Here is a 14,769-nt window from a genome sequence, read left to right as displayed (position 1 = left end):
TGAACAGAATGGAGTTTATTTTGTTGATGGAGGCATGGGGGCTTGCTCATATCGCACCTGGAAACCTACACAAGGAGCACTCTGACAAAACGTTTAAGAATCGAGCTTAACATTCAGAAGCTGAGAAAATAATTTTAGACATTTGCATTTCTTTTGCTGTATGTGTCTCGTTTAACTCATCTTCTGTATAACACCGTAAAGTTCTCTGGTAATAACACCATTCTGGCAAAACACTGTGTCTTCTTAATTAAGGATTGCTGTTTATTTGGGCGTTCTATCATAAAAGGAGACTGATGTCAGGGAAACTCAAGGTGTGCCTCACCGTGGGGCCCCACCACTGTCTGCCCCTCAGCGCTTCCTGTGTATTCCATGTCCATTAACTCTGATTTATAGGCACTATATTGGTACTTGGGTTTTAAAATTTTTTTGTCTGTTTGTTGTTGGTTTTTTTTGTTGTTGCTGTTAGACCTCAGTATAGCATCTGGATATAGTCATTTAGATAAGTCATTTCTCTTGCTGAAGATTTGAGTGTTTCCTAACACTGTTGGCATTGATTTAATTTTGAAAATAACAACTTTAAAGCCTGTGTTTATAAGCGTAAGAAAAACAGAGTGTGATTTACTGTAACTCTCAGATGACTGGTTAATGGCAGCCATTTATGTAAGGGCGGCTTCTTAATTATGGCTTCCATTGACCACAGATAGCAAACCACAGAGAGCATGAACAAAAGTTATAGTTCAGACTGCTCTCAGACCAACGCAAAGAAGCATAAATCATCAAATGGATTCTGATACCCTTTGCTCATGGCAATCTAATTCATTGTGTTTATGTTGTTCAAAGCACAAGAAAACCAGGAAAAAGACAACCATGAGTTTTATGCAGTGTTTGGTTCACTCTTTGGTGTTTTAAGTAGATTCTCTTTTGTGTGAACTATCTTTTGAGTTTTTCTGATAGTCCTCTAGCTTTATTTCAATAATGGTGATTTCCTATAATGTTGACAATGTAATAATATGGAAATTATTTTTGAACTATGTAAAATGTAGATATTGTGACTTGTAGACATCTTTGTTAATTAAGGAAGTTTTGAAATGAGTGCCTGTGTGATGATGGTATAGTAATGAGAAAAATATAAGTATGAAAATATTTTTGCAAAGGAAAAATACTGATATTAGATATAAAAAACAGACAATCCTTGTATTTTGATTATTTTAAAATTTAACAAATTAGGTAAAAATACTAGAAGTTGTACATTGCGTTATTTCTGTATAGTGCTTGAATTGCAAACACCATAAAATTCAGTTCTGTATAATATCTCAAGCTCACGTGTAACCTGTGAGTTTGGTTATATGTGTGGTAGAAAGCACGATGGTAGAGACCAGCATTCTAGTGTTCCTTGTGCCACTGATATTTTATGAATGTTGGCAAATTACTGAACCCATATAGGCCTTCGTTCACACCTCATTGAGAATCCACTAAAAAAATTTATGTTGAAGCGTCTTGTAAATTATAAGGTGCTTCGCAAATAGAAGGGATTATTATTGTTCAGAGCAGGAGGATACTAGTTGATTGTTTGATCTCAGTTTGTGAGTTAATATTTTAAGGTTCTCAGGTGATTACTGTGTAATGGTTTTCTGCTTTATTTTTACGTACTTCATAAGGTGATTTAGAATATGTAAACGTAAAAGTAATACACGCATTTAAGTAAAACAGTGCTTTTAATTCAATATTATTAACAATGGAATATTTTTGAATTATTCTACAGAGTCCATATTTTAATTAGCATGTCCTTCTCTTTTACATATGCAGATTTTCAATTGAGAAAGGAATTGCTGGCCAAGTAGCAAGAACAGGGGAAGTCCTGAACATTCCAGATGCCTATGCAGACCCACGCTTTAACAGGTAAGAAATAGCTGATGTCGACACTCCATTGATTTCTTCTGTGATGTCCCACTCAGCTGAAACCTCTTCCGTGGAGCCTGAGTTCTCCACGTCCCAATTCAGTTCTTTCTTCCTTAGTTTTCTTCTCTGAACCAACTCTGCTATCAATAGTCAGTATATTCAGATATTTATAAAATGATGGATTCTAATCCACTAATGTATCATGATATCTAGATACAGGAGTTTAGAATGTTATAAAAACAACTGATAGGCGGTAGTTTTAATTTATAGAGCTACTGTGGGATTTTTTTTCCATTATAGTGTCATGATTTTGTAACAAACATGTTCTCCGTCAAATCATATGCTCAAAGGCTGCAACACATAGTAAGAAATTTGCATGCTTTTGAGATGAGTAGGTCTAGCTTTGAAGCACGGTTCTGTCATTTCTTAGCTCTCAACTGACCTAGCATAAGTTACTTAATCTCTCTGAGCCTCAGTTTCCTCATCTTTAAGATGAGTATGATAATGCCAATTTTGTTGCTGTTGTTTTAAGATCACAGATAATATTCATGAAAGGTCTGGAAAATTTACCTGACCCAAAGTAACTAAATAAGTTACATCTTTTATTGGATATTATTAAAGATGGATATTAGGAAGGCTTATAAAGATTTTTTGTTTTGTTTTGACTTTCTTTGGAGAGTTGCAAACCCAATTATGTAATTTGATTTTAATAAATCGCTAGAAATGGAAAGTCTCAGGATTGATGCTGTGACTGTTAGAGAATAATATTTACAGTAGTTTGACAGCAGTGTTTAGTTAATTCCAACTCGTGGTTTACTTTAAGAGACAAATAACATAAGCAATAGGAAGTTTATTCAGTTATTTGATCAATTGATGTCAAATATACACAACTCCTATAAAAACATAGGAATATTCTAGTAATGTATATTGTCAATAAATTAAGGGTACACTGAAAGTTTTTTTCCAAAAGTCCAAACTCATCATTTAGTACTTAAAAATTAAATATATTTGCTCATCCTTATGTCCAATCTTTATGTAAAAATGTATGAGTCAGACTATTAAGAAAATGAAAATGCAAGCACCAGATTAGGAGAAAATATTTGTAAAACATGTATCTGACAAAATACTTATATCTAATATATAAAAACTCTTCCAGCATAACAATGAGAAGATAACCCAATTTAATACAAAGGGCAGGTGATTTTAACAGACAGTCCACAAAAGGAGATATACAACTGATCACCAAACACATGAAAAATGCTCGAAGTGAGGGGAATATAGATGTAGTTGACATGAGACCTCACTGTACAGCAGCTTGAATGGCTGGGACTTTAAAACATTGGCATTAGCAAACATTGGCCAGGATGTGGAGAAACGAGTACCCTCATACATTGTTGGTGGGAATATGAAATGGTACAACCGCTTGGGAAAACAGGTTTGCAGTTTCTTGAAAAGTTAAACATACACTTACTGTGCAGTCCACTAATCAGCTCCGCTTCTAGATAGTACTACAAGCAAAATGAAAACATATGGTGCTACAGTAGGACTTGTATGCAAACCTTCAAAGCAGAATTATTTATAATTGCCCAAACTGGCTATTAAAAATAATATTGTCCATTAACTGGGAATGAATGAACAAAATACGATATGTCCATTCAATAGAGGTATAACTCAGCAATAAAAAGGACTTAACCACTAAGACATGCAACAACATGGATGAATCTCAAAAACCTTTATGCTAAATGAGAGAAGCCAGGCTCTGAAGACTCCCATGTAACTACCTACCGTTAGCTATGTCACTGTTTCTATGCACCTTAGTCCTGTTTTCCAAAAACATGTCCTCACAATAGGAGTCAGCAAGCCTTTTCTATTAAGGATCATATGGTCAGTATATTTGCATTTATAAGCACTAATGTCCTTGTCACAAGTCCACAGCTCAGCCTTGTGGGGTGATGGCAGAATCAGACAATATGTGAATGAATGGTGTGGCTGTGTTCCAATACAACTTTACTTATAAACAGGAGAGGGCTGATTTGGCCCCTGGGTGCGGTTTGCTGACCACTGCTCTAAGTTTTTAAAGTGGAAACACTATAAGTTGGTTTAGCAAGTTATATCTCTCATAAACACGATCAACTTCAAAGGATTATGTTATTTTACCAAATTTAATTGTATTTCTCCTCTGAATCCACGTTTTTTTTTGGTCTGTTTACTTAGTAATGCTGGATACTTCAAATGATAAGCTGAAAGCCTCTTAGAGACTATCCTAGAAAACTCACTTGGAGACAAAAGAACCAACAGATTAGAATATTTTTGGAAAGGTTTTAATAAAACTCTGTGGAATGTTACTGTCCCTGAATGTAGAAGCTAAAAGTGCCATTAGTCATATGCAATAGAAGCATATGTAAATTGCAAAGATTGAGGGGAGATTTATGACTGACTGTGTCCTTTATTTCTTCTGCCCTTTTGTTGTTGTTGTTATTTTTGGTTCTGTCACCCCACAGAGAAGTAGACTTGTACACAGGCTACACCACGCGGAACATCCTGTGCATGCCCATCGTCAGCCGAGGCAGCGTGATAGGTGTGGTGCAGATGGTCAACAAAATCAGTGGCAGTGCCTTCTCTAAAACAGATGAAAACAACTTCAAAATGTTTGCCGTCTTTTGTGCTTTAGCCTTACACTGTGCTAATGTAAGTACTATTTATTAAATACCATTTTTTACTACTCAATATTAATTTGGAATCTTTTTCATAAAGCAGCTTAAGGGCTTTTTTTTTTTCATTTATATTTCCTTTACAAACCAGGAAAAGTAAGTGATTCCTGATTGTACATGTTTTAGAAAATGTCATAAAATGCCCTGGAAGGAAAAATAACAGTCTCCTAATAGTTTGCGTTTATTTCAAGGTGGGAATTTGTTAAGAAGAAAAATGAAGTTACTGTAAAGGTAACATGTCCAGGCATCAGTCTTATATTTAATGGTATCTACTGAAATGAAGAAAGAAAATGCTACCTAAACCTTGACTGTTTGTCAAATGCATTCATTTGAGATCCTTACACAAAAGTATAGTCATAGCTCATGTTTGGACACCCACCAGGAAAGTTCTGTTTGTGACAAAAAGTGAGGCACCAGGTTGTCCATGTCACATGCATTCTCGGTGTTAACTCAGTCCTCGTGAAAGTTGTACCGTGTTCACTGAAGGGTAAAATGAAGTTCAATGTGCATTCTCAAGTCTCACTTTAAAAATAGTGGAATTTATTGTCTGTCTTTTACATTGTTATATTTTAGATGAATGGAACATTTAGTATTCTGTAAACTCTAGTAATCCTTTAATAATATTACTAGAATTCTGAGGTTAGGGAAAATTTTAGTATGGTGATCTTTTCATAGAGCTAAATCAACATACATTCAGTTGCCCCCTTAATCAATTAGAGAAACTGCTTTTTTGGGAGTAGGACTGGATTCCATAGGAGTAACCGTGTAACTCATAGGACAAGCGGAGACATACCTAGGGACAAGCATTGGTAAAACTTAACTTCTGGTGACCGAGGGTAACCGTTTTTAATTCAGTTTGTGCTATTTAGTGAGAGTACCCGTCCTCTCTCCTCACGCATTCCTGGTGCCCTTTTGGGGGACAGTTTCTGTTACATAGCTCCTCAGAAATAAACTAGGAATGCTGTCAAACACTTTTGCTTCAAACATTTTTAGTATCTATGTGTCTCTCATAAATAATGTTGACAGCTTATGCTTGTCTCATTTAGTTTAAAAGTCGCAAAGATTGTAATTTCTAGTTTATTCTGAATATTGACTGTTTTATCATTTTTAAATGTAGCCAATGGAATTTAAGTATCATAGAAGCTTGATACATATTATAATATATTAAAAAACACAATAGCAAGATCTTAGGATGGGAAAATTTGGCATTATGTTTACTCTCTGAATATGTATTTGTTATCCAACAAAAGTTGAATATATTTTATGCTTTATTTTATTAATTACCCTAAGATAATTTCTATTTATAAGATAATACATGGGTATGTCTAAAACATGTATAATAAGTGTTAAAATTCATTTTGGATTGTGGTGGTATTATGTATTATCACATATGTGATCAAGTCAACTATTATAACATTTTGATAGATGTCAAAAAATAAAAAAAAAATTGAAAACTTTTTTCTTAGATACCTATGGCTTAAAACAGCAATAGTTAATATAACTGTTCGTGAATTTTTCTTACTGTTAAATGAAACTAGATTTAGCATAATTTTTATACTTTTCATTTTGAAATAATTTCAGACAAAAGCAAAAGTTGCAAAAATAAAGTTCCCTGTATACCTTTATCCATATTCCCCAAATGTTAATATATTTGCCATTTTTGCTTTGATATACTTTCTCTGTCTCTCTCTTTCTCTGTTAAATAGATACTATCTTTCTCCAATCTATATGAGAGTATGTTTCAGATGTAATGTCTCATAACTCCTAAATGATTCAGTTTGTATTTTCTCTAAAAACAAGGACATTATCTTATTTTTTCACTGCATAATTTAAAAATCAAGAAATTAACATTGGTACTGTATTAGCTTGCTAGGGCCACTGTAATAAACATCACAGACTGTGTGGCTTAAACAACAGGAAATTTTTTTCTCACAGTTTTGGAGGCTGGAAGTCCAAGATCAAGGTGTGTTTCTCCTGAAGCCTGTTTTCCTTGGTTTGCAGATGGCCGCCTTCTCCCTGTGTCCTCACATGGTTTCTGCTGTCTCTGTGTACATGCCTGTGTCCTAGACTCTTCTTATGAAGACACTAGTCATATGAGATTAGGACCCACGCTTTAAATCTCCTCTTACCATAGTTACCTCTTTAAAGGCCCTATCTCTAAATACAGCTGCATTCTAAGGTACTGGGGCTTAGGCTTTAATACATGAATTTTAAGGGGGCCACAATCTAACCCATCACAAGTACTGTGTTGTTATCTCATCTGCAGACCTCTTGAGTCTCCTTTCATCTGGAACTATTCCTTAGTGTTGTCTCTCATGACCTGGGTATTTTTAAAGCGTATACACCTGTTGTTTTTTAAGGATATTTCTTTTTTTTTTTTTTTTTTTTTTTGAGGCGGAGTCTCGCTCTGTTGCCCAGGCTGGAGGGCAGTGGCGCTGTCTCGGCTCACTGCAAGCTCCGCCTCCCGGGTTCACGCCATTCTCCTGCCTCAGCCTCCCGAGTAGCTGGGACTACAGGCACCGCCACCACGCCCGGCTATTTTTTTGTATTTTTAGTAGAGACGGGGTTTCACCGTGTTAGCCAGGATGGTCTCGATCTCCTGACCTCGTGATCCGCCCGCCTCGGCCTCCCAAAGTGCTGGGATTACAGGCGTGAGCCACCGCGCCCGGCCAAGGATATTTCTTAATTTGGATTTGTCTGGTGTTTCCTCACAATTATATGAAGGTCTTATTTGTGACAATGAGTTCACGTGCGGATGTGTCCTCAGTGCATCCTGTTAGCAGGCATGTGCTTCGTCACTGAGCCTATTAACCGTCTGCACTTGAAAGGTCCTGTCTGCAGGTTTCTCCACAGGAACTTACCCCCACTTTCTCACTGACTTCTTTAGAAGAGAGTTTATACATAAATCTCTACGTCCGTTCATTCTGTCTGTCTCTTTCTGTCTCTACGATACCTAACCTCCAGTCTAATACCACAGAATGCTCTAGCCATCTCATTTTCATCTTCGGAACTTTTTTTGTTACAGTGAGAAATTTGGCTCTCCCTATTCAGCATCAATCTTATTCCAACTTGTCCCTCTTATTTTTTAAGGAAGCTGTAAGAATTGCTTCCATTAATAAAGTTTTATTATCACAATTTCTCTTAATTCTACCTGAGCTAAGATGCCAAAAAGTACTGATAATTCTGACACCAAAAATTATTTTAATGAGCTATCAGTTGAGAATTTACTGAAGTTCACCTTTAATATTTTAGGAAAGTTTCAGAAACCTTTATTAGCCCTCATTAATACCAGCATTTTATATTGCCGCTTTGTATTACAGCAATTTGATAACAGGGCTGTTTCAAAATGGGATGTGGGAAAAAGTCATTTTGAGTAAGAATATGTGTGAAAGTTAAGAATATGGAAATTGATCATCTTAAAATTTATTCATTTGTCCATGTATCCCTTGAAATATTGTTGTATACTTTCAAGAATACATAAATTAAGAACTAGACTAGCAGGTTCAAATGCTTTTCTAAGTCACTAATTGTGGTATCATAATACCTGGATTTAATCATGATTAAACCACACAGAAAAAAAAAAAAAAAACTTCTGAAAAGTTTTAATAGGCATTCCATTTTTACATTGATTATTTAGTTAAATTATTTAGGGTAAAATTTTGGTAAAATAACTAGTATTAGTTGATATTGGAAATGATTATAATTTTTCTAAACACTTCAAACCCCATCACAACAGTGGTTTTCTCCAACAGTGACAAGTAGTATATGGAGCAGCAGTTCTGTCGAGTAGTCACCCGCACTGGACCAAAGCTGGTTACCTTTTCTTTCTCCCATCCAAGTACTAACCAGGCCCGACCCTGCTTAGCTTCCGAGATCAGACGAGATCGGGCGCGTTCAGGGTGGTATGGCTGTAGACACCTTTTCTTTCTGAGATGGAGTTTCACTCTTTGTCACCCAGGCTGTAGCGCAATTACGTGATCTTGGCTCACTGCAACCTCCGCCTCCCGCGTTTAAACGATTCTCCAGCCTCAGGCTCCCCAGTAGCTGGGATTACAGGCATGCGTTACCATGTCTGGCTAATTTTTGTATTTTTAGTAGAGATGGGGTTTCACCACGTTGGCCAGGCTATTCTCGAACTCCTGAGGTCAGGTGATCCGCCTGCCTCGGCCTCCCAAAGTGCTGGGATTACAGGCGTGAGCCACCTCGCCCAGCCAAAGCTGATTACCTTTAAGGTATACATTGAAAATATATTCAGTGCAGCTGCAAGCTCTCTGTGGAATTTATTACCTTTTTTCTTTTTTTTTTTTTTTTTTGAGATGGAGTCTCACCCTGTCGCCCAGGCTGGAGTGCAGTGGTGCCATCTCGGCTTGTTGCAAGCTCCTCCTCCCAGGTTCACGCCATTCTCCTGCCTCAGCCTCCCGAGTAGCTGGGACTACAGGCACCCGCCACTACACCCAGCTAATTTTTTGTATTTTTAGTAGAGATGGGGTTTCGCCGTGTTAGCCAGGGTGGTCTCGATCTCCTGACCTCGTGATCCGCCCGCCTCGGCCTCCCAAAGTGCTGGGATTATAGGTGTGAGCCACCGCGCCCTGCCCCATTTTTTAACTGCAGTATATTTTTCTCCTTACTAAAGCTCATAAAAATTATATTATTTTTGAAGTTTTTCCAACTCAAAAGGAATAAGAGATTTGAGTCCACAGCTTCATAATGATTCCTTCTTCCCTCTTCTCCCTGGCCTTCCAGTCTGATGAAGACTGGTGGCTGGGTTTATTTCAAAACTTTGTTCCAATTCAGAAAGACCAGTTCACATGTCTTCTTTACAATGATATTTTTTGCCTTGTTGAAGAAAGCATCCATGTAAATAAAAAAATAAAAGAAAATAGCTCCAAATGTATGCTGGTTTCAATAAGATAGCATCGCGTTTCTTTATAGTGGGATCCCTAGAACCTTACCCACTTGAAAAGGTTGATGCCACGAACTACTGCCAATGACCAAGACCCAAATTCTGGTCATCACTGTGGCACCGAGATGCTTGCGGTTGTTCTTGAGCAATTTTGCTTTGCTGTTTTGAGCATTTTTTTCCCAAGCATCATATGAAAATTAGGAAAAACACCTTGTATTATGCGTTGTCCCAAACAATCACATCTGCGGGTTCCCTACCTTTTCCTGAATGTTCTACTTTCTAGAGAACATACATTAGTAATGATCAAGATCATAAATATGAAAAATCTTTGTGCAGCATGAAGTGCTTTTTAATTGTTGACCGTTATTGTCATTTTAATTGTGTTGATCTTGGGGAATTCAGAGTATTTCTGCTGTTGAACAAATTATTGTGTCCGTAATAGAAGCATGTTTTGTACATGAAAATTCTTGTTTCTAATACTGAACATGATAATGTAATGGCATATTTTATTGTGGTCTTGTTTGATTAAGAGCCTATCTAAGAAGCAGGGCACATAGGCCATGTTAATGCTTATTATGTTTTTATTTTCCTTTATTTCATCTTTAGAAATACTTGAATACATTCCTTTTATTTAATTAAAGGGGAACGTCTCTGATTGGCAGCATCTCTCTTTCATTTATTGAGCTAACATACTGGGAAGTACTATCAACAGAAAACATCTTTTAAATCCAAGTCAATTAATTTACTCATTTATACTGTGATTTTAAAGAAACCATTTAATATGCCTTAGAAAAGCTAATAGGACAGTAGTATCAGTTACATCTTTTGCTTAGAAAAATAAATCTTTTAAAACAGATTAGCTCTGTACATTTTGGATAGAAAGACATTTAACATGAAAGGGGCATGAACAAAATTTGCTATTAAAATGAAATTAGTTGGTTAGGGACAAATTGAATAAGTGGTTGAACCTTTATTCGTTCCAGAATTCAACCACCAAGTATTGCCTATCTTTTTTATACCAGATGGTGGATATAAAGATGACTATGATAAGAACAACTCTTATTTGATATAAGGCTTTATTGTGTGACAGGAATTGTTCTAGACACTTTACATACGAAATCTCTTTTTGTATGTTCTCCCAACAATACCATGAGTGTGGTTATTATTATCTCCACGTTTTATAAGAAAAAAAATGGATGTATAGAATTTAAATAATTTCCCCAAGGGCACATAGCAAGTATGTGATAGAGCCAGGGTTTGAATGCATGCAGACTGGTCCCCGTGCTCGCTAAGTGTGCTGGCTTCTCTCTGACATCGTTCTTCCCTAAGGTCCTAAGGTTGCCTACAGGGAAGACAATTACTACGAAGTGTTTTTACATTTTATATATAAAATATGGATTAGGGTGCATTAGGGTTCTCCAGAGAAACAGAACCAACAGGATACATATATAGATGAATAGATACACGAGCGAGGACTTAGGAGGGAAATTGGTTCATATGATTATGGAAGCTAAAAAGTCCCCCAATAGGCCATCTGCAAGCTGGAGAACCAGGAAAGCCAGTAGCATAGCTCAGTCCAAGTCTGAAAGCCTCACAACCAGGGAAGCTGATGGTGTAACCCTGAGTCAGAGGCCAAAGGCTTGAGAAGCTGGGGTGCAGCTGGTGCAAGTTAAACTCCAAAGGCCAGAGATCCTGGAGATCTGATGTTCAAGGACAGGGTAGGTGTCCCAGCTTTAGAACAGAGAGACACTTTGCCTTCCCTTTGCCTTTCTGTTCTGTCTGGGTCCTCAGCCAGTTGCATGGTGCCCTACTGCATTGGATAAGGGCAGGTCTTCCCTACTCAGTGCACTGATTCCAGTACCAGTCTCCCAGAAATACCCTCACTGAAACACCCAGAAATCATGCTCTACCTGCTATCCGAGCATCCTCTAACCCAGTCAAGTTGACACTTAGAATTAACCATCAAAGACGGTGAGGTTAATTTTGTCAGAAATGAAGGGGGAAAGTTTAGGAAAAAAACCCAAAACTTCATCGATAAAGTAATATAGATGGTAGAGCAAGGATAGGGTTCATGAAAGAGTTTGGAATCGATTAACAGAAAGTTTAACACTTGGGACATACTTCCAAGGAGAATTATGTAAATTAAATTTGTAATTATAGATGATGAACTATTGCCTTAAGAGTATTGTATATTCCCAAGAAAAGTTTTCTAAGAAATATCAAAAATACATCTTATACCAGTGCATTGAGTCACAAAGTTATCTCCTAAAATTCAACTATCTCCTGTTAGTGGTGACATGATCACACACAGAAACACACACACACACACACACACACACACACACATCCTTTTCCCTCATCTTGAATTTGAATACTCTTAGATACTAATGAATAACAATTCTTAAACTGAATTATTTTTGGGGTTACATGAAAATAAAAGTTTAATACTTCTCCAAGTCTACAAGTTTATAGATAACTAATTTCAGCCGAGTTCAGTCTTTTTTTTTCTTCTTTTGGTTATAAGGTTATAAAATTTATAACTGACATGGACATTTGTTCGTTCCACACATAAGCATTAATCACTCCTAGATGCTAGGTACAGATTAAGAATTAATGGACCCTACATCCTAGGTGGTTTCATGTCCTGTGTTTATATATTTGAAATATTCCTTGGCACAGACTACAGGACAATTTTCCAGTTTTATTTGACCTTAAAGGTATCATTTCCAAAAGCGCCTGCTCTGCAGTAGATGCAGCTCTCCTTCAGCTATGACACTAGGCCCTCCACCCTTCCAAATCATTCTTTCCCTACTTTTTGAGTTCTCAATGTGTGTGTAGTAGGATTCAAAACTTAAAATCAAGCAGACATGCATTTTACAACCTGATCTATTACTTTCCAACATTCTGACCTTGGGGAAGTCAGCTTATGTTCTTGAGCCTTAGTTCCCTCAACAGATAAACGGAAACAATACTTATTCCCCAGGATTATTGTCAGGACAAAATGAGATATGTGAATAAAGTCTTAGAACAGTGCGTAGTCCATATGAATAAACTCTTAGAACAGTGCATAGTCCATAGTAGACAGTCAGTGTTGCATCCTTTGTTTTCACATTAGTCATTATATTTTATGAATTATCATTGCAGCCAATTTTATAAAATTTCAATTCATTGTTAAATATATAGCTGGTTTGTTGTTTCCACAGGCCAAGTTGCTTTTCATTAAAATTTGATTTGCTTCATTTATTTACTGGAAAATAGCAAGGAAGAGCCTATAGAGGTACCTTTTATGTCTGCCCTAAGATGGAACTTCTGAGCTTACAGAGGAAGAGAGAAGTCAGTATTCCTACCTTAGGACACCAGTTGTCTTCTATACGCTGAGGTGCATTTGGGGCACACAGCTAGAGAGTCATTTTTCCAATGCCCCTACTTTCTCCTGAATTCAGCTGTCTCTTATTTCACAGGAACATAATACACACACATTTTTTTTTTAATTTGTTCCCAGTGCTTTCAAATCCACTGAAACACGTTAGAGGAAACTATTGTCACCTTTGCAGTCCTCAGCATGAAAGAACTCTCTATGGTGCCATAGACAGTAGGTGCTTGGGCCTGTCTTTAAGAAAGTGTTTTAAATACTTCCACCCACGATTAGGTCAAAGATACAACTCTACTGAGAAAGAAACAGAAAGAAATCCTTGTGGTTTTTGTTTTGTTTTGTTTTGTTTTTGCATTTTGGTACTGTGGTTTCCATAAACTAGAATAGTTGTGCAAGCATGGTAAGTCACATACCAAATGCTGTATTTTTGCAACAGTGTATTTTAAATCTCTCAGTAAGTGTTTTTCATTAGCTCAATTTGTAGAGGGTACTAATATCTATTCATCTTTCCATTCTTAGATTTTTTTTCAGGTCATCGTTTACTTGTTTACCTACTCAAATTTCTCTCAAATTATCTCCCTTGTGAGAGACCCTCATGCTCAGATATATGTAATGTTTTCCATGTGCCCCAGGCTTTCAGTGATCTGGGTCCAGGTTTTTGTTTCTGTTAAGTTTTTAGCTTGAAATTCCTGCAATATGTTAGGATAAATTTGGAAACTACAACTACATATGGTTCAGGCTTGATTTCCATATTCTCAATGGATGGAGACTATTTATTTTCTACCCATAGCCCCAAGTAGAGACAAGGCTTCTTTTTTGCTTATGGAGTTCTCAGTTCAGCTCCTCTCCTCATGCAGCCACAGGGAAGTCTCATCCTGCATGGACCTTCCCTTCACATCCGGGAGCCTCAAGCCACACCCTGCGATGGGTCTGTTATTTCTTTAGTCGGCTGCAGCACTGCTCTATGCTATGAAATAAACAGCACAGCATTTCCTTTTTATTGATTTATAATAGTTGTACATATTTTGGGAGTATGTAGAATAGTTGGATACCTGTGACTGTGGTAATCATATCGGTGTGACTGAGGTATCTGTCACCTCAGATATTTATATTTTCTTTGTTTTGAGACCATTATGAATCTTCTAGCTATTTTGAAATACACAATAAATTATTAAGTGTAATTTTCCTAGTGTACTATCAAACAATAGAACATATTCCTTTTATCCAACTGTATTTTTGTACCCCTTAACCAACATTATACACAATGGAACATTATTCAGCCGTAAAAAGGAATGAAATCGCGTAACTTGCAGCAGCATGGATGAAACTGAAGGTCGTTAGGTTAAATAAAATTATCCAGGCACAAAAAGGCAAATATCACACGTCTGACTCACTTATGGGAGCTAAAAAGTAGATCTCATGACAGTGTAGAGTAGAAGGGTGGTTACAGGTCTCTTATTCAGTGTTCCCCGTATGTATGTGGAGTATGTATTTGATTTTAGGACTTGCTTAGAGAATCAATTTAATTTGACTAATGATATTATTTAATGCTATTGACAAACATATAGAAAATATGTAGTTTAATAAGTATTTTGTCAATTCGATTTTAAATGTAAATTAAATAGGGGAAAAGAGTGCACAATTTATAATAGTAGAACAATTATTATATCTCAAGTGTTCCCAAAGTCAAACTACTTGTATCTTAAAGAATACCAGTTGGTGTGCAGTAAATGTTTAACAGCAACCTCTCTAAAAACAGAAGGGTCCTGATTTGTGTGTTTCCCTGTTTCTCTGGCGTACATTCCCTCAATATGGACAATTTCAAGCTACCCATGCGCCATAATGAATGCAGAGTTGGGAAGAAATGTGCATAATTGGCTCTT

The 14,769-nt window shown here is 36.7% G+C and overlaps 1 protein-coding gene, 1 long non-coding RNA gene and 1 pseudogene across 14 annotated transcripts in view; 1 reads left to right on the top strand and 2 right to left on the bottom strand.

The window, feature by feature from the left end:
• Nucleotides 1–14,769, top strand: part of PDE10A (phosphodiesterase 10A) — a 660,764-nt gene that overhangs the window by 569,965 nt on the left and 76,030 nt on the right. For all 13 annotated transcript variants that reach the window (XM_011535387.4, XM_017010194.3, NM_001385079.1 and 10 more), the window contains 2 exons: nt 1,807–1,899; nt 4,401–4,587. In XM_011535387.4, the coding sequence (XP_011533689.2) occupies nt 1,807–1,899; nt 4,401–4,587 (280 nt within the window). The remainder of the gene's footprint in view (nt 1–1,806; nt 1,900–4,400; nt 4,588–14,769) is intronic.
• Nucleotides 4,432–6,629, bottom strand: LOC105378116 (uncharacterized). Its single transcript, XR_943237.3, has 3 exons — nt 6,544–6,629; nt 4,990–5,090; nt 4,432–4,519 (listed from the first exon to the last, which is right to left on the bottom strand). It is a non-coding gene; the product is annotated as an uncharacterized LOC105378116 (long non-coding RNA).
• Nucleotides 8,437–8,526, bottom strand: RNA5SP226 (RNA, 5S ribosomal pseudogene 226; annotated as a pseudogene).

This window comes from Homo sapiens, chromosome 6 (assembly GCF_000001405.40).
Source record: "Homo sapiens chromosome 6, GRCh38.p14 Primary Assembly".
NCBI classification, from domain to species: Eukaryota; Metazoa; Chordata; class Mammalia; order Primates; family Hominidae; genus Homo; species Homo sapiens.
Note: the sequence above shows the minus strand (reverse complement) of the source record. Positions and strands in the feature narration are given on the sequence as shown.